The sequence below is a fragment of the Homo sapiens genome, chromosome 1 (assembly GCF_000001405.40).
Source record: "Homo sapiens chromosome 1, GRCh38.p14 Primary Assembly".
Taxonomy (NCBI): domain Eukaryota; kingdom Metazoa; phylum Chordata; class Mammalia; order Primates; family Hominidae; genus Homo; species Homo sapiens.
This window is the reverse complement of record NC_000001.11, coordinates 12,916,173-12,935,970: the sequence shown is the minus strand read 5'-3', so window position 1 is coordinate 12,935,970 and position 19,798 is coordinate 12,916,173. Positions and strand designations below refer to the sequence as shown.

Genomic DNA, 19,798 nt, shown 5'->3' with positions numbered 1-19,798 from the left:
TGAAAGATATAAAACTTTTAAAGAATGCAATGTGATATTTTAAGAATGGTTAATGGCCAGGCGTGGTGGCTCACGCCTGTAATCCCAGCACTTTGGGAGGCCGAGGCAGGCAGATCACTAGGTCAGGAATTTGAGAGCAGCCTGGCCAATGTGGTAAAAACCCGTCCCTACTAAAAATACAAAAAATTAGCCTGGGGTGGTGACGGGCCCCTGTAATCCCAGATAGTCAGGAGGCTGAGGCAAGAGAATCTCTTGAACCCAGAAGCAAATGCTGTTGACCACGTGATGCATGGAAACGTTTGTCATGGGTATAGCCACTGAATTGCTAACTTAGGGACGTCAACATTAGCTCACTACCAATAATATAAATACATTGGATTATGGAAAAAATTGCCTTTGTGATACCATATCCATGTGTGACATGAGAGTCCAGCAATTGGCCCGGTGTGGTGGCTCACGTCTGTAATCCCAGCACTTTGGGAGACTGAGGCGCATGGATCACTTCAGGTCAGGAGTTCGAGACCAGTCTGGGCAACACGGTGAAACTCTGTATCTATTAAAAACACAAAAATTCCCACCTATGAGTGAGAACGTGCGGTGTTTGTTTTTTTGTCCTTGTGATAGGATGGGAATTGAACAATGAGAACACATGGACACAGGAAGAGGAACATCACACACTGGGGCCTGTTGTGTGGGGAGTGGGGAGGGATAGCATTTGGAGATATACCTAATGTTAAATGACAAGTTACTGGGTGCAGCACACCAACATGGCACATGTATACATGTGTAACTAACCTGCACATTGTGCACATGTACCCTAAAACTTAAAGTATAATAAAAACAAATACAAAAATTAACTGGGCGTGGTGGCAAGTATCATCCCAACTACTGGGGAGGCCGAGGGAGGAGAATTGCTTGAACCCAGGAGGTGGAGGTTACAGTGATCAAAGATCATGCCACTGCACTCCAGCCTGGGCAACAGAGCGAGATGCCATATCAAAAAAAAAAAAAAAAAAGAGAGAGAGAGAGAAAAGAAAACAAAACAAAAGAAAGTCCAGCATGGTAAAAGGTACATAGAGGTACATTTGGGTGAGCTTCCTTTGTTTTTCATTCTTTTTCCCTTCTCTGGACAGAATTCTCAATGCAAAACATTCCAAAAACACAGAGCAAGTGTCTTCTATAACCTTCCCTTTTTTTGAGACTTCTCTTCACAGTGTATGTGCTAGTGTCTTCCAGACTTTTGTGTGACATGCTATACAGAACATCAGATCAAACGGGCACATCCCTAATAAGTGGTGACTTGCCAGATCTGGACTCACTTTGCAGGGTGCTGGGACCTCTCTGAGAATCAAGCAGTAGCTCCAGGAGCCAGGGCTTTGGGTCTCTTCTGTGCATCTTCAGGAGTTTTATTGACTTTTCTCACCACAACCCCCTTCTCAATTACCAACTTCCAATCCAAAAATGACATCCAACTGGATCCTGAACTTCCACCCAGTTAACGGTGATTGAGTTTTCAACTTTCTTCTTATTAAGTGATTAAATTAGATATGGATTTATGAAAGTGAAAGAATTAATAATAGGGTGAAGGACTAAAACTCATTTATTCACTTATTCCATAAATATTGGTAAAGTTTTACCAATATGTGACCTTCATAGTGATACAGGGAAGGTTTTAATCTGTTTCAGACATTAGAAATACATATATTTATATATGGTATCTTTATTGGAGAACCTTTGGCCACATCAAAAGTATCAAAACTTTTCAGAGTTAAAACAGCTTTAAGAAGACAGTGATGTCATCCCTAAAAACACAATAAAAATCTCAGTGTATCCACTGGTCACCTGGGTTTTGCGCTACCTAACATGGTAGATCATATGCCCATTCAGGTGGAAGACAGGAACTACTGAGGGTGTAATTTATCTCAAGGTTAAGGTCAAGGCATCACTGAAAGAAATCAGGCCTAAATTACAAAGTGAGGTGGAGGTTGGGCTGGACAGTACTGACTGTTCTAATGGGGCCCTAGGAGGGAACCAAGACAACAAAAAACATGGCAGGTATTTTGTGGGCATCTAGACAAAAGGATTGAAAGACTTCCTTCTACATTGAGTTTAAAAATTAAAAAAACCTAATTACAAAAGAGATAATGCAGACTCGTAAAACATCACAGTGTCTTTGAGGGCAGAGAGGGCAGACACAATCTTGACTCCTACTGGAAGGTGAAGCATCATTACTCGCAAACAGGATGGGCTTCCCTCAGAATACCAGCTTGGGAAGAGTGAATCTGAGTGTGTGAGCTGGGGCAGAGCCCAGAGAGGAGCAGTGTGGTCAGACATAAGGAGGGAGACTTTTCAATCTGGAAGCATGAATGGTGCAAGCTGTGTATCTGAAGAATTTGGGAGAAAAATGAACCTCTTGGGGGAATCCTGCACCATCCTCAGGACCCCAGTGAGAATCCTGCAGTTTGGGGGGTCTTTCTACCATGTTCTGGTTGCCTGTGCTTCTGAAGGTGCTCCTCTGCTGTCCAGGTCAGAGTAGCTTTCAGAGCCCATCTGAAGGGACGGCCTGACTTCAATTCCACTCACAGAATTTCTACTGGGATTCCAAAGCTTCTCCAGGCTTTTGATTGGGGTCTCTAAAATATTTCTGAATTTCTGTTTTCCTCCCCCAGCCTGAGCTGTGAGAGAAGCTGAATCCTCTGCTTCCTGGAAATGTCAGCCGATCTCTCCTGCACCGAGGACTATGGCCACAAACAATGCTAAGAGACACTCTCCCTGGAATCAGCAGTGACTCATACATTCTCCCCAAATTCTACTGAGCTTTTTGGGTGCACATAGCAAGGCACAAAGCAGGGAGCTCCTCAGCTGCTCTTCCGGACCTAAAGAGGCACCCAGGACCAATGGAGGGGAAGTTTGTCTGCCTTCCACAGGAAGAGCTGACTCCTCTGGTTTTCCTAGAAGTGCCAGGCTGTTGGCAGAGCCTGGGACAGGTCCCAGTGCAGGGGGCCATCCCTTCTAGGATCCCCTTGCCCAGTCTTAGAGCTGACGAGGCTGCACCTGGAATGCAGTGAGTCTGTTTCTGAGTCAGGGCTTTCTTTGCCCATGGTGTTTGCCCTCTCCATGTTTCTAACAGTAGAAATCACTGTTCAGGCCCTGCTGGACTTCTTTAGTCCTCAACAGGATCTCATTCCAGGTCGCATTTGTGACCGTCTTTTCCAAGATCAGGGGCTGCCCCTCCTTTTTTCCCCAATAAAGATCTGAGGAGAAGTCACTCTGAAAGCAGAGTAGATGCCTAAGAAGGTGCTTGTGGCAGCCTGGGGTGGGGAAGGTCTCGGAACTCGCTGCAGGCTGGATGGAGCCAGGAGGACTAAGGAAAAGAACAGGGCCCAGAAAGGGAGTGGCCCAGAGGAGCTGATGTGGGCCAGAGTAAGCACAGAGGAGAGAGATGGCAGCAGGGTAGGGGGCCGGGTTATTTGGCTTTCACAGAGCCGCATCCCTGATAAGCTGTGGACTTGTGTCTGAGATCCTCAAAGGACCTGTGCCTGGATGTGGAGCTGTGAGTTTCTAAGGCCCTTTGATTTCACCCTGGTCTACATGAGGTTCCAGTGGCTGCCCCATCTCACCCCAGGGGCAAAGAGTCAGTCTAGCAGGGAGACATGGGGAGAGAGAGTCAATGGCAAACATCCACCTTGGATGCAAAGACAAGGGACATGTCAGAGGGAGGGAGACTTGGTGTGAGGCCAGGGGAAGGGAGGCACGTTGGATATGGTGCAGTTCTGTCTCTGCACTTGCCACAGCCTCATAGGACTGTGAGGATTGAACTTTGCAGGAGGGAATGAGGTAGAATGGGGTCTGGACTGGAGTCCCTGTCATCCAAGTGACCCCCATATCTACTCCTGCCAACCAGGTGAAGGTCTTGCTAGATGTAAGTCAAACCAGGACCTATCAGACTGCCTGGCACTTTCTGATGGATCTAGAAGGAGCACAGTGATCCTCAGTCAAAAAAAATCTTGCATTGTCCAGGGCTGAGGATTTTCAGGTGGCCCTGGAGGGGGAGACTCTGGGGAAAAACCACAGAGAAGATTTTGGCACATTTGACACTATTAACATCCAGTGCCTCCCCTTCCTATTGGTCGGGTGTGGTGGCAGGAGAATTGCTTGAACCCGGGAAGCAGAGGTTGCAGTGAGCTGAGATCACGCCATTGCACTCCAGCCTGGGTGGGCAACAAGAGTGAAACTCTGTCTCAAAAACAAACAAACAAACAAAACAAACAGACAAAAAAATGTGAAACAAAAAAAAAAAACCTTTGACTGAGTGCCTGTAATGTGCCACCTACTATTCTGGGTGCTACTTAGGATAAACAAGAAGCAAGGCAGCTGCAAAGTGAGCTCAACAGAATACACCTGGCTTGGCAGTGCAGTGCAGATCAGAAAAAAAATGCCTGTGCAGCATAAAATGTGAAGAGACATCTTCTTTGCTTTTCTTTTCTTTCTTCTTCTTTTGAAAGACAGAGCCTTACTCTGTTTCTAAGGCTGGCGTGCAGTGGTGCAATCTCGGCTCAGTGCAGCCTCGGCCTCTCAGGCTGAAATGATCCTCCCATGTCAGTCTGCCAGTTAGCTGGAAACACAGGTGTGTTGCATGGAATATCTTTTTCTACCCCTTCACTTTCAGACTACATGTGTCCTTATAGGTGAAGTGAGTTTCTGGAAAACAGCATATAGTATGGTCTTATTCTTTTACTCATTCAACGACCCTAAGACTTTCACTTGCAGAACTGAGATATATTGTCTTCATTGTTGTTATTGATAAAGGCTTAGTACTCCCATTTAATTTCTTGTTTTCTGGTTGGTTAGAGACTTCTCTCTTCCATCCTTCCTTTCTTATTGTCTTTCTTTGTGTTTAAGTAATTTTCTCTTATGAAATCCTTGGGATGTGACTTTTCTGGCCAGAAGCCTCTATGGCTGGGGGCACCTTTGCCGGAGTTTTGATGGGGTTCACTGGGTTTGTTCTGCCCACTCAGACTGGTAGACTATGCTTGGCTCATGCTTCAGGCCTGGATCACATGCCTATTAAGGGAGGGTCAGGACTGGAGCAGTGAGGGGTGTCTGAGTGAGCAGGGGGTCTGGTCACTTTGGACAGTCACTGGCTCCCACAGCAGTGGGGCAGGCAGCTTCAGGTGCCAGCACAGGTGCCAGATTTTTGCAAGGCTGCAAATGAACCAGGCACAGCAAAAGCAGCTTCCATGTTTGTCCCTGGAGTACACAGTGGTGTCTGCTGCTCTTTCCAGGAAAGTCATCTCATCATCTCCACAGCTCTCAGTAGAGAAAAGGCCCCAGAGTGGATTGCTTGTCTGCAGGAAAATCATCCCAAGAGTGGGTAGTTTCACTCTGCCACTGTTCATCCTGATGTTTTCCCTGAGTCTGGGGCTGTTGGGGCATCATGGGGAAGGAAGTATGTGCTGCTTGGGTCATAGGTAGCCATTGGCAGGCACAGAAAAGGCACCACATATTCCCACTCTGGTCCATAGCACTGGTGGACCAGCCCACGGGCTTCAGGCCCGCCTTGGTCACAAGGTAGAGCCTCACCAGGTACCCTCGTCTTCCCATCCAGGAGTCTGTCTGCCTCCCACCACCACCCATGGCGCCCAGGTCACTTGCATCAAGGAGCATCCAAAGGCCAGCACTGATCTGTCCTCAGCCCCCTCTCAGCCTCCCTCCCATGCTCATCAGGGCCCAAAGCCCAGAGTGTTCAAGACAGCAGGCAGACGGTGCATCAGCACGAACCTGAGCATGCACACGCTCATCTGGGCTGCCACAGCATACATGCTTGACCCCAACTCCGCTCCAAAATTACAGCAGGTGCCAGGAGGGACCACACAGTGGGAGCAGACACCCCCATGCTGCAGGAGAAGGGGAGACCTCCTGAGCCCTCAAGAGCACTGGGGGACCTTGGTTGGAACTGCGACCTGGGCAGCTTCAGTTGTGCCTTTGGAGCTACTGTCCTGCCAACTCGGGAGGGCCAGGACTCCCTCTTGTCCCAGGATCCCATCAGGTTCAAAGTGTATGTAGCCTCAGTTATGCCCTCTCTCTGTGTTTCTCCACAGAGGTGACAGGTGAGATGCAGGTTCACAGCAGCTCTGGCCAACCCTGCAAAAACAAACCCAATGCTTCTGGGTCTGGTTGAATGAGCCCCAACTGCACTCTAGTTAAGAATATTGCAGGCTAACAGCAGGCCGTGAGGAGTGAGTTTGAGGCTTTGTAGAGGCTCCAGACCCGGGAGCGGGTCTCATTAAGCCATGAGAGGGTGTGGGTGGCACAGCTGTCTGCCTCAGGAACACGGGGCAGAGGCCTGGCTCACAACCCTGCCAAGGTGGGGTGCCTCCAGGGGTGGACCGTGGTCCCCAGACCCAGCAATTAGGAACGTCAGTCTCTGTGGTCACCCCTGTGGGGGGCAGATCTTGGAAATGCAGCCCCAGGAGGATTAGCACAGAACCTCCCTTCGACACCCAGGAACTTGGCACTGTTAGCAGGGTGGGCACAGTGGCCCCATAGCTGGCCAGGTCATTGAACTAGGTGCCATTTCTGCTTCCCAACAAAGGCCCCTGTAGCTTGATCCCAGCTCTGCCTACCACCTCAAGCCCATCTTCTCCTCGGGGCCCCTCTCTGCCCGTCCCTTTGTGCCTGACTGAGCTGCTCCTTGCAGGCGAAAATGTAAGGAAAAAACAGATGACTGAAGAGAAGTAAAGAATGGGTGGAGATCATTGGCACACCCGTAATCCCAGCACATTGGGAGGCCAAGGTCAGCAGATCACTGAAGCCAGGAGCTCAAGACCAGCCTGGTCAACATGGAAAAACCGCGTCTCTACTAAAAATACAAAAACTAGCAGGCTTGGTGGCACTTGCATGCAATTCCACCTACTAGAGTGGCTGAGGCATGAGAATCACTTGAGCCCCGAAGGGTAGGATTGCAGTGAGCCCAGATGGGACCACTGCACTGCAGCCTGGGTGACAAAGCAAGATGTTGTCTTTTTTTTTTTTTTTTTTTTTTTTTTTTTTAAAAAAAAGCAAAGAAAAAGAATGGGTGGGAATTAGATGTTTTGCAGCTGAATCTCAATCACAGACAACAGAGTACTTTGATACTTTTCCATCAGTAACTCAATAACTAGAGATTTCTGATGTATAAATCGCTAAAACAAGTCAATCAAATACAGAGGACACCAGAAAGTTTTCATTGAGGTTATTTCTGATATTTCTTGGTAACCGTCCCTGCAGGGATAACATTCTCATCACTGTAGAACTTTAGCTTCTCTTTCTGACTCTGTAGGACATGGGTCCCGTAAGGTCTCATTGACTCCACCTCCACATTTTCCTCCAGTCTTGCCCCCTGCTGTTATCTTTTTTCCCTCATACTGAGCACCTGCCTGAAGCAAAGAATTCTGTGCTTCCTGTAAGTTGCATGTGGCCTGGTCACAATCACTCATGCCAGTAATCCTGGCACTTTAGGAGGCCAAGGCAGGAGAATCCCATGTGCCCAGCAGTTTCAGACCAGCTGGGGCAACACAGCGAAACCCTGTCTCAAATGTTCTTTAATAAAATTTTAGAATTATTAAAAAAGGAAATAAGAAAAAACAAACATAACTTGCACTTACATACTAGATTTTAGTGTCCAAGTGCCTGGAAGAGAACTTTGGATTTATCAACCCCACTAGGCACGCCTTCCCTAGCAGCAAAGATGGAGCTCCAGTTCCTCAGACGGTGATGAGCCACAGGAAGGGCAGGGAGTGGGACCAGTGAAGATCCTCTTGGGCTGCCTGACTTCCCTCAGTGTACACATCAGCTCAGCCCGAAGTGGGGCGAAGATCTCCCAATCGACACGAACCAAGGAATTCAAACTCTCCTCAGGGGCAGGATACGTCTCCAGGCTTAACTTGCTCAGCCCACTGGTGTGGCGCAGCAGGTCCTTCAGGGTGTCCGTAGACATGCAATTTCTGCCAAAGTAGAAGGTGGTGAGCTGGGAGCAGCGGCTCAGGCCAGGCAGGATGGCGCTGAGTTGGCAGTAGTGGATCTGACAGCCCTCGAAGATGAGGGTCTTGAGAGTGGCAGCAATTTTCTCTAGCAGAGCTCCGAGGGGTTCAAGACTGATGCGGAACAGCAGCACGTAGCTGAGATTCAGATGCTTTAGGTAGCTGAGGCTTGGGTACTGAGACAGACACTTCATGTCCTCTTCCAATAGGTAGCCACAAGTTAACTCCAAGTTCTCCAAGGGGTTCTGGAGGCACCTGTGGAGATCAAGAAGTTAGTTCTGGGCAGTGATACCAGTTAGATGAAGGTGGTGGGGAATAACTGAAAGGGAAATGTCTGCTTCACCCAAACACAAGTTTATTCCCATCATGTGATGATGGTCCACATGCAAGTTGCTCTGTGATGAGGACTCTGATCATTCAGGGGCAGTCCTAGTTTAGCCTCAATCCTTTCACCATTGCTTGTGTGATTGGTTCAAGGCCACAAAATCACATCACTAAAGCCTCTTTTCTTCATCTTTTAGCAGAAAACTTCATCTCTGGGCCACAGGTACCCGGTGGGAGATGTGCATGAAGAACTCAACTGAGCAAGGTCTAGGGTCATCAGCTAGGGCTACCTACTGGCAGGGGCTCCCTGACGTGCCTGCATCTGCAAACCACCTATCACTTTTTACCACTCTCACGCCTACTCCCTCAGCCTCCATTCAAGAAGCACACATTTCCCATGTCAGTTACCTTTCCTGGGGTTCAAAACAACCTTTTACAGACAGGGAATAGAGACAGGATCATTTGTGATCACTAAGCTGGTGAGGACAGAGTTTCTACTGTGAAATGCACAGGTTTGATGCGCTGTCCCTCCTTTCATACCCTCCTCTATTACCTCTTTCCTATCATATCAACTTGAAACACACTTTGTAACAAGAAATTCACATATGCACCCCCCAGTAGAGCTGAAACCCCCACTACCTGGCTTGTACATGATGTAGCTCTCTAGCCTCTACCCCAGGTGACCCCGCTGCCCTCATTGCAGAGATCCTGTGATAGCCACTCCAGAACATGGAGCACTGAATGGGACAATGTGTTGATATTCTGGTGTCCCCTTCACTGTGATGTCACCACTGGCTGACACAAAAGTTATGCCTTCTAGCGTTTGCTGTAACAAAAAAAGGCTGTGCTGTGGTCTTCAGAGAAAGTGCACGATCCTTTCTCACCTGATCAGCTGTTCCAGGTGCCCACTGAAGAAGGTGATCAATTTTACTTTAAGCAATTGGAGGTGTTCCAGCCTGAGGAACACAGGCTGAATTTGGTGAGTAACCATTCCTCGAGGTCATTGTCCGACGAGTAATGATGGCACCTGGAGAAAACGAGTTTGCGAAGATTCTTCATCTCCTTCAGGTAACAATGAAGCTTTCTTATCAGATGCAGCCAGGACATGTTGTGAATTTCCAACTCCTGAATACTATTCAGGTGGACTATTTTCAATGACTTTCTAAGATATTTAATGGGTGTTAGATAATTCACCAACTTACTACAGCACAGGTGTACTAAAACTCTCCTTTGGTAAACCCACTGGAAGAGGTATCTCAGGCATTCATCTTGGGGTGTTTCCTTGAGGCAGACGTCTATGAACACCTTTAAGGGCTGGTGCTCTCCCATCCTTGGATAGTCCTCTGCTGTCTGCCTCTTACTCATGGCCTCTGGGGAGGAGGACAGGGCCTAGCCTCCAGGCCATCCAGCCCAGACATTCTCATCAACATCCAGCAAGTCCAGCACTTGAAGTTTCCACCTCCTATAGGTAAAGTAAGGGAGAAGCTCAGAATTTAGAAGGACCCATCCCTGACTTTTGCTTTCATTCTCATTGCTCCCTGTTCTCTCTCTGACTTTTCTCAGTCCGTTTTCTCTTTTGATTCATACTGCTCCCCACTTCTAGTCCCTTTACCTTCCACTGGGAAAAAGCAGGTTTCTGTTCCCACAGTGGACCCTGTATGGTGAGCAGTCCTTTCTCTGAGGATCTGGACAATGGCCAAAGCCTCCTTGAGCTTCCTCACCAGCACCATCAGAAGACTCTGGGCTACCCTGAGTCAGGCTGGAAAACAAGCCGCTTTATTGTATTTATTTATTTATTTATTTATTTATTTATTTATTTATTTATGGATTTTGAGACCGAGTTTTGCTCTTGTTGCCCCGGTTGCAGTGCAATGGTGTGATCTCAGCTCACCGCAACCTCCGTCTCCTGCGTTCAAGCGATTCTCCTGCTTCAGCCTCCCGAGTAGCTGGGATTACAGACATATACCACCATGCCCAGGTAATTTTGTATTTTTAGTGGAGATGATGTTTCTCCAAGTTGGTCAGGCTGGTCTCCAACTTCTGACCTCAAGTGATCTGCCCACCTTGGCCTCCCAAAATGCTGGGATTACAGGCGTGAACCACTGCACTCAGCCTTAAGCCACTTTATATAGGGTTAAATAAACCCCCTCTGAGGGGACTTTGTGATTTGTAGAAGGTGACTCCCCAGGCCCTTTAGTTAGGAATTGGGGACCTTCATGTCCCAACTTCTCCTTTGGATGCAGAGAACCTAATTATAATGCATTTAAATGTAAAGCCTCAACCACCAGGTGAACCTGGGATGTATGTGACATGTATATTTGCTTACCATACATGCATGCATCCCCCACCCTGTGAATTTTCATAGCTGCTCCAATGACCTGCTGAATATGCACACTTGGTGGCCAACAGGTTCAGCATAGATTCCTGGGTCACCTTCCCTCCCTCCAAGCGCTTGCCTCAGGTCCTGCCTGGAGGCCCATTTCCCAGCGAGCAGGTTGTAAACCTTTAGAAGAAATTACGCTCCTTTTTTCTAAATCTATAGACCCCATAATTTTTAGTGGACCTCATTGGTGTTAGAAGTGGGATTCAAAGGGGACCTCCGATCTCTTCCTGATGCCTCCAGAACCAATGCATCCTGCACTGGCAAGAGCCCCGTGAGCTCTTCTCGATTGCGCCATGGGAAGGCCTCGGGTAAGTCTTCCTGAATTCAGATGTCCAGCTCTTAGGTGGAAGATCTCAGAGACTTTAATTCTTCCCAGCTGGTTCTCTCCAAACAGTTTCTGGAAGGGACCTTCTCCATCAGTTCCAGGTTTTGGGACCCATGGTGCCTTCCCTTCCCTGTTCCCTCTCAGTCCCTGTCCTGGCTCCCTAATTGGGATCTTGGAGGGAATCTCTTTGTTGGTCCTGGGTTTGAGGAGACTCTTCCAGTTCCCTCCATCTGGACTGGATAGAAGATTCCTCTGAGGACCCCTGCCTAGCAGGGAGACATTCAGGTCAGACTTCTTGGGTCCATCAGGTTTGGTGAAGATGCTCGCCCTCTAGTGGTGCTTACAGGGACGCCTGTGGTAGGTAAGTGCAGTTATGAGGGCCCTTAGTGCCAAAAGGACAGACTCAGACCAGTGGCCATCAGGAACTCTGATGACTCTTTGTTTAAAGACTGTGTCCTGTATTACATGGGGGGAAATCTATAAAAAACAGATGAAGTTCATCCATGTGATGACGGCACTGCCGTGACACACAGGTAGTGACCCCGGCAAAAGGAGGGTGACTTCATCCATATTCAACGTGTTTATATTATTGGTGGCAGCTCATGTTGACTGCCCGACATTTGCATTGTAGTGGCTATAAAGTGATTTCTGAGCACTATGTGATCAATAAGCATTTACAGCCACCTGCCAGGTTCCATGCTCTGCTGTGGGACCACAGGGTGACAGAGACACAGTCCCTGCCCTTGAAGAAGCAGTCTCTGTCTACATGAGATTGTCAAGGAAAAAATCATTATCAAACACAACCTAGGCACATGGTCCAGCAGCCACGCTCCTTGGCATTTACCCAAATGAGAAAACCTAAAACCTGGATGTTTTTAACCACTACATTCATAATAGACAAAACTTAATAGGGACCAATATATTCTTCAGCAGATAAATGGATGAATAAACTGTAGCACATCCTGACAGTGTAAATTATTAAGCCCTAAAAGACATAAAAAAAACTTAAATGCACATAACCAAGTGAAAGAAGCCAACATGAAAAGGCCACATGACATTCTGGAAAAGGCAAATCTATGGACACAGTAGAAAGCCCAGGGGTTGCAAGGAGTCAGGGTAGAGTGGGATGGATAGAAAGAGAACAGGTGATTTTTTTAGGGCACTGAAGCTACTCTGCATGATGCTATAAGGGTGAATACATGTCATCATCAATTCATCAGAACTCATAGAATATACAGCACCAGATGTGAACCCTTAATGTTAATTATGAACTTTGGGTGATAAGGATGGTTCGTGTGGTTCATGCATTGGAGCAAATGGACCACGCTGGGGCAGGACGTTGATCCTTTAGGAGTCCGCGCTAGAGTGGGGTCATGAAGTATGTGGGAATGATCCACTTTCTGCTCAACTTCACTGCAACCTTATAACTGCTCTAAGAAAATAAATCATATATCCCTAAAAATATTGCACTTCCTTCCAGCTCCAAAATTGTATAAACTTAAATATTTTTAAATAAGAGCAATTCTTATTCATTGATCTTCAAAATCAGTTTTGAAGGTGTCATTTTATTTGAGACTCAATGCCACATTAAGCATTTTCTAAATATACTTCAAGTTCTGGGACACATGTGCAGAACGTGCAGGTTTGTTACATAGGGATACATATGCCATGGTGGTTTGCTGCACATATCAAGCCATCATCTACACTAGGTATTTATCCTAATGCTAACCCTCCCCCACCATCCCTACCCCCCAACAGGCCCCAGTGTGTGATGTTCCCTGTATCCATGTGTTCGCATTGTTCAACTCCCACTTATGACTGAAAACATGTGGTATTTGCTTTTCTGTTCCTGTGTTAGTTTGCTGAGAATGATGATTTCCAGCTTCATCCATGTCCCTGAAAATGACCTGAACTCATCATTTTTTATGGCTGCATAGTATTGAATGGTGTATATGTGCCATATTTTCTTTATCTAGTCTATCACTGAAGAGCTTTTGGTTTGGTTCCAAGTCTTTGCTATTAAGAACAGTGCCACACTAAACATACGTGTGCATTTGTCTTTATAGTAGAATGATTTATAATCCTTTGGGTATATACCCAGTAATGGGATTGCTGGGTCAAATGATATTTCCAGTTCTAGATCCTTGAGGAATCACCACACTGTCTTCCACAATGCTAGAACTAATTTACACTCCCACCAACACTGTCAAAGCATGCCTAATTTCTCCACATTCTCTCCAGCATCTGTTGTTTCCTGAAAAATATGGAACTTGTCACGAATTTGCACATCATCCTTGCGCAGGGGCCATGCTAATCTTCTCTGTGTCATTCCAACTTTAGTATACGTGCTGCCCAGGCCAACACAAACATTTTCTTTTTTTTTGAGACGGATCTCACTCTGTCCCCCAGGCTGGGGTGCAGTGGCACGCTCTCGGCTCACTGCAAGCTCTGCCTCCTGGGTTCATGCCATTCTGCTACCCCAGCTTTCTGAGTAGCTGGGACTACAGGTGCCTGTCACCATGCCCGGCTAATTTGTTGTATTTTTAGTAGAGACGGGGTTTCATCATGTTAGCCAGGATGGTCTCCATCTCCTGACCTCGTGATCCACCCATCTCAGCCTCCCAAAGTGCTGGGATTACAGTCGTGAGCCACTGTGCCCAGCCTACAAACCTTTTTAAAATATTGCACTACATACTTTAAAATACTAAATTCCCATTATAATTTAAAATTTCAATATACATATATTCAATATGTATAAAATTATATATATTCAATATGTATAAAATTATGTACATAAATTTATGTAAAAATATGTATTCAATATGTATAAAATTATATATAAATCACAATATTTATTCTCTATAAACACTTACATAACAGCAGATTTTTGGAGATACCACTCAATATCATCCTGTTTGCATCAATGAATTACACCAGATGGTCTGACCAACCAGCAGATGGCACATGAGTCTCATGGGTTGGAAATTTTTATCTCATGATCACTAGAGATGAACTCAGTCCTGCCCCACCCATCCCAACCTCTGCTGGCTGCTGAGGCTCTGCTGTTTGGGGGAATCACGATTAAGTGGTGGTGGTGGTGTGTAGAAGTTGAGTCCCATTGCCTGCCGTGGGTTTCTGCTGCCTCCCTATTATCAGGAATAGAAGGTGAGATTGAAGGGTGAAGAATGATGGGACTTCTATTAGGAGGGGAAAAAAAAAAGAACAAGATGCATATATTGAGCTCTTACTGTATGCCAGGCCCCATTCCAAGTCCTGACCATACACCATCTCATTGGGTCCTACGATAGTCTCATAGGGTGGTGGCATCATCATCTTCATTTTACAGGGAAGCTGAGCCTCTTGGCTGTTTCGTGCCCAACAGCACCAGCCCCTGAGTCCTCGGCAGGGTTCTACACTTAGGTGCCCTTTGTGTAGGGTCCTTCAGCACAGGTGTGGTCATTAATTACCCACAGGCACTTGATCATTATCCACCCTCTAAGGATGTGTGATTCCTACTACCATGCACTAGTCTTCCTTCACAGGGAGAAAAAGGAGGAGTTAAGAAAAGGTCTTTCATTGATGTTACAGGTATTATATGCCTACATAATGTCAGCATTTTGCTGAAAGGGAATTTGGATGTCTTTATTGGCCACAACTACTTTAATTCAGCAAGGGCCGCTACCCACCATGACAGGCATGGGTTAGTGATGCCCTGAGGCTCCTGCTCATACAGTGTGGAGCTCCCCTTCCAGGGCAGGGCCACGCCTTGGGCAGTGAAGTCCTTTCCCAGCACAGGTAACGGTCAGGAACTGAGAGCTCTGAATCCACCCATTGAGAGTGAACAGGGTCTCGGCATCAGGACAGAATGAGGGCACCTGAAGGGGCTTAACTTAAGTGGCTGACACTCACTTTGCACTTAGAATGCTTCAGGCCCTGTGTGCGTCTCTCATGTGCCACTAAATAGGCACAGAGAATAGCAAGAAGGTAACAGGAGGGGGATTGATCTAAATGATCAAATTCCATTTTGATGGTTTGATTTCCAGGAGCTGAACCTCATCAGTCACAGACAAATCAGTGCCTTATTAGCTCGATCAGTAACTGGACTTTTTTAGGTTTAAATTGTTTAATTGTTAAGCCATGTTAAGCAATTACGGAGGACACCAGATAGTTTCCACTCAGTTTCCCTTTATTTCTGACTGTTACTTTACAACCATCTGTGCAGGGGTAACCCTCTCATGTGTCTCTCCTCCCTGATTCTCACTCTAGCAATTCAGATTCCCATTTCTGATTCTCTGGGACACAGGTCTCTAAAGAGCCCATCCACTCCAAGTCAACTTTTCCCCCAGTCCTGCCCCTCCTGCATCCTCATTCCTTTCCCATTCACACTGAGGAGGCATTTGAAACGATGGGTCTGTGCTCCCTTTAACATGCACTCATGGCCTAGGTTTCAGCTCCGAAATGACCAGAAGAAAGCTTGAAATATATCCACCCTGATGGCAGGCATTCAACAGAGGCAGTGACTGGGCTCCAGGTCATAGGAGGCCCTGATGCCACAGCGAGGGCAGGGGACGGTGCAGAACACAATGATCTTGGGCTGCCTTAAGTCCCTCAGTGTGTTCATCAGCTCAGCCCCAAGTTCAGCAAATCTCCCCCAGCAGAGAGCACCCTGGGTGTCATAACTCTCCAGAGGGGCAGGATACAGCTCCAGGCTTAGCTTGCTCAGCCCGACGGTGTGGCGCAGCAGGTTCTCAAGGGCAGCCATGGAGATGAGGTTCCCACAGAAGCTGAAGGTGCTGAGCTGGGAGCAGCGGCTCAGGACAGGCAGGATGGCGCTGAGTTGGGAATCCATGATCCCACAGTCCTCTAAGTCCAGGGTCTGCAGGGTGGCCACAGCTTGCTCCAGCAGACCTGTGAGGGGCTCAGGGCTGAAATGGGTCAGCGTGACACCCCTCAGGTCCAGCTCCTTTAATTGACGGATGCTCGGGCACCAAGAGAGATGCTTCAAGTCTGACTCTGACAGCAGGCAGTCGGTCATAACGACCATCTCCAAGGAGGCCTGGAGACACCTGGGAGAGAACAAGAAGGAGTTAGAGGAGAGAGGTGGGGATGACTTCAGGGTGAGAGATGATGCTCTCCATAACCCAGGGCTGCTCTGCTCATCTGAGGATAGTCAGCACCTGGGGTGTGGGAATGGAGACTCTGTTCCTTCAGTGCAGTCCCAATCGAGGCTCAGTCCTTCACCATCACCGAGGTGATTGGATCAAGTCCATGAACTCTAAGTCTCCCTTTCCTCATCTGTCAGGTAGAAAACCACATCTCTGGGCCACAGGAGCCCGATGGAGACACAGGCATAAATGACAAACCCAGGCAGGATCCTGCAACATCAGCTGGGTTGGCCAGGTTGCAGGGGACCCTGACATGCCTGTACCATCAGCAAACCATCTATCACTTTTACCATTCTTTGCTCCTGCTCCCTCACCCTCTATTCTATCATCATGTATTTCCCATACATTAATTACCTGACCTGGAGCTCAAAACAGGGTGCTGACAGGGAAACATAGGATTTTGCCTGTTCACTAGGCAGGTGAGGATAGACCTCATATTTTAAAATATAGGAGTGGGATGGGCATTCTCTTTAGTGCCCTCTTCACCTCCCTATTTCCCATCATCTTAACTTAGACACACATCCTCAGGAGGAATTCACAAATGCACTCTCGCCAGATCTAAACCCTGCAGTAGCTAGCTTCCTAGCTTGGCACCTTCTCTATATCATCTAGCCCAGGAGATCCCTCTGACTTTATTGGGATGGTTGTGTGATACCCGTATCAGGACAGAGCCACCAACAGGATAATGCATGGATATTCTAGTGTCCCCTCACTCTTACTTCCTCACAGGCTCACAGTGCATACCCACTGGTGTTTACTGTAACAAAGAAAGGCTCTGCTGTGGTCTGAAGAGAAAGCTCACCATCCTTCCTCACCTGAGCAGCTGGTCCAGGTGGCCTTCGAGGAAAGAGACGGAGTGCATAGACAGATTCTGGAAATAGTCCAGCTTGAGGAACTGAGAGGTGAATCGGGCAATGAACTGCCCCTTGTTGTCTGGGGGAATGCAGGCAGATGCACGGATGTTGAAGAGAACAAGTTTGCGGAGATTCCTCATCTGGCCCAGGTAAGGGGCAAACTTCACAAGAGTGGACAGCTCCCAGGGGCAGCACACTTCCACCTCCTGGATACAGTCAAGCTCCACCATGTTCAGGACCTCTATGATACTGTGGATGGGCATTCCAAAAACCTGCAGCTCCTTGCAACACACATGCAGTAAGCCTTTTCTCTGCTTGCCCCACTCTAAGAGGTGGGTGAGGCATTCATCTAGTGTCCTGTTCTTGAGACAAAGGTCTATGAACACCATGAATGGCTGCTGCCTGCCTGTCCCTGGACAGTTATCTGCTGTTTGCTTCTGACTCAGAGCCTCCGGGAAGGATGCAGTAGCTCCAGAAAATATGTCGCAGAAGTTCTCATCCACATTCCTCAAGTCCAGCACTTGAAGTTTTGACTGCCTGTGGGTAAAGGAGAAGAGAGGCTCCAAACTAAGGCAAGGACCTGAGCTTTTATTTACATCCCAGACATCAGCTGTTCTCCTCTCTGCCACTTTTCCCTCTCTGATTTTGTCCAACCCCTTTTCCCTCCGGATTTTGCCTCATCCCCATTGCCTGTAGCTTTCAGAGCCACTAGAAGAGAAGTTTCTGTTTCCTCAGTGGACCCTGCATGGTGAGCAGTCCTTTCCCAGAGGGGCTGGGCAATGGCCAAGGCCTTCCTGAGCTTCCTCACTGGCACCATCAGAAACCTCTGGGCCTCCATGGTGCCCCTCCTCCTCCTGAAACAGCTGTCCCTACCCTGGACAAAAGGGCCCTCCCCACCTGGACACCTGGGTCACCTCACCTGGGGCGAACCTCTTGGGTCAACAGCACATCAACCCCTTCCAGCACAGATTTTAATGACTCCAGATGAGGCGACTTCATCAGGGACCCTAGAGGGAGGCGGGTGAAAGGCCAGGCCTGCACCATTGTTTTCAGGGTTTCACAGCGTCTCCTGCTGAAGGCCTCCATGAACAGCGTGGGGAAGAGCTCCCTGGGCAGCTCCTCCATGGTGGAGATGGCCAAGGCCTGGTCCCTCAGCAGCCTCTGCCTTGCCAGCTCCAGGAGTCTGGGTGGGGCCCTGATGCTCATCTTGATGAATCTGCAAGGGAAAACTCTAGAGGACAAATCCAGAGAAAAGGCATCACTCTCAGGCCAAATATGATCACCTCATCTTCTCCTATTGCTAATCTCATTGCTCTGGTGGAGGTGGAAAAGCCCTCAATTCCCCCCAGTTCCATTCTGCACTTGGTGGCCACAAATCTGTATCTGTGCCCCTGTGACTACCACAAAGAATGTCTTCCAAACACCAAGGAGGGGACGAGGTGGCCAGTGGCCCATTAATTTCTATACATTGCTCCACTGAAACTCAGGATTACTGGGATCTGTCACTCAGGATCCTGAAAGCTAAGCTCCACCTTTTTGAGGGAAATTTTTTTGTTACTTACCACCCAAAAACAATGAGAATGACTGTCCTGTGGCCCCACACAGCCTGCATTCTCAGTTTACACAATTAGCATGCTTGGGGAAGACTGAAGTGACTCCTTAAAATCAATGCCACTTGTTTTTATTTTGAAAAATTATAAGAGAAACTATAAAAGCAGTGTGGCAGTATTCTAGAGCACTTGGAAGGTGCGGGTGGAAACACTAAGTCTCAGATGAAGGATCCAATACTCATCCCTTCTACATACTCACAATCACCCACTTAGGGACAGAGTCTAAGGGCAGAGATAAATCCCATGTTCAGAACAAGACTCGAGAAAATCACAATACAACTAAGTGTGTGAACTGTAGCTGAAGGGCACAGAAACAAATAACTTCACATGTCAAGACATAAAAATTCATCCAACTGTAAATTTTTAATATCTTTTTTAAAAAACTGCTTCAATAAGAATTTTGAAATGAGAAAAATGAAGCAGAAATCAAAATTTGAGGGATGAAGTGAATACTATATTTAGAGGAAAAATCAAAACCTACATCTGTTAAATTGAAAAAACAGACAGGAAATTCTCTGTGCCACTTTGGGCTGTGTGTCACCATCCCTGACTGGCTGGCTGCAGATCAGATGGGCATGTTCCTAAGGAGGTGGTGACTTACCAGATCTGGACTCAGTTTGTAGGGTGCTGGGATCTCTCAGAGAATCAAGCAGTAGTTCCAGGCACCAGGGCTTTGGGTCTCTCCTTTGCAAACTCAGGAGCTTTTATTGATGTTTCTAACCACACCCTCCCCTTCTCAATCACCAGCTTCCAATCAGAAAGTGATACCTGATTAGATTCCGAAGTTCCACCTAGTTAGTCCTGATTGAGTTTTACACTTTCTTCTGATTCATTGATTAAATTAGATGTGCATTTATGAAAGTGAAAGAATAAATAACAGGGTGAAAGTCCAAAACTCATTAATTCATTTATTCCCCAAACACTGATGAAGTTTGACTAATATGTGACCTTCATAGAGACATGGAAGGTTTAATCTGTTCCTGACATTAGAAAGAAAAAACAAAACCTGATGATATCTTTATGGGAAAATCTGTGGCCACATCGAAATTATCAAAACGTTTCGTTAAGACAGTTAAAACAGCTTTAAAAAGACAGTGATGTCCACCCTAAGAAAAC

General features: G+C 47.2%; 1 protein-coding gene and 2 pseudogenes across 1 annotated transcript; all 3 read right to left on the bottom strand.

Moving 5' to 3' along the window:
* On the bottom strand, positions 7,089 to 9,809 carry PRAMEF29P (PRAME family member 29, pseudogene; annotated as a pseudogene).
* On the bottom strand, positions 13,312 to 13,417 carry RNU6-1072P (RNA, U6 small nuclear 1072, pseudogene; annotated as a pseudogene).
* Positions 15,220 to 19,361, bottom strand: PRAMEF7 (PRAME family member 7). Its single transcript, NM_001012277.5, has 4 exons — positions 19,284 to 19,361; positions 17,992 to 18,303; positions 17,034 to 17,609; positions 15,220 to 16,119 (listed from the first exon to the last, which is right to left on the bottom strand). Exons 2-4 carry the CDS (start codon positions 18,276 to 18,278, stop codon positions 15,558 to 15,560), a joined length of 1,425 nt encoding a protein of 474 aa, NP_001012277.2. The 5' UTR covers positions 18,279 to 18,303; positions 19,284 to 19,361; the 3' UTR covers positions 15,220 to 15,557.
* Positions 19,362 to 19,798: the final 437 nt, after the last annotated feature.

Excerpts from the sequence above, each read along its gene's own strand:
- PRAMEF7 (NM_001012277.5), bottom strand. The coding sequence starts at position 18,278 with ATGAGCATCAGGGCCCCACCCAGACTCCTGGAGCTGGCAAGGCAGAGG. Across the intron at positions 17,610-17,991 it reads ACCCAAGAGGTTCGCCCCAG|GCAGTCAAAACTTCAAGTGC; the intron begins GTGAGGTGACCC and ends CTTTACCCACAG. Across the intron at positions 16,120-17,033 it reads CACCTGGACCAGCTGCTCAG|GTGTCTCCAGGCCTCCTTGG; the intron begins GTGAGGAAGGAT and ends GTTCTCTCCCAG.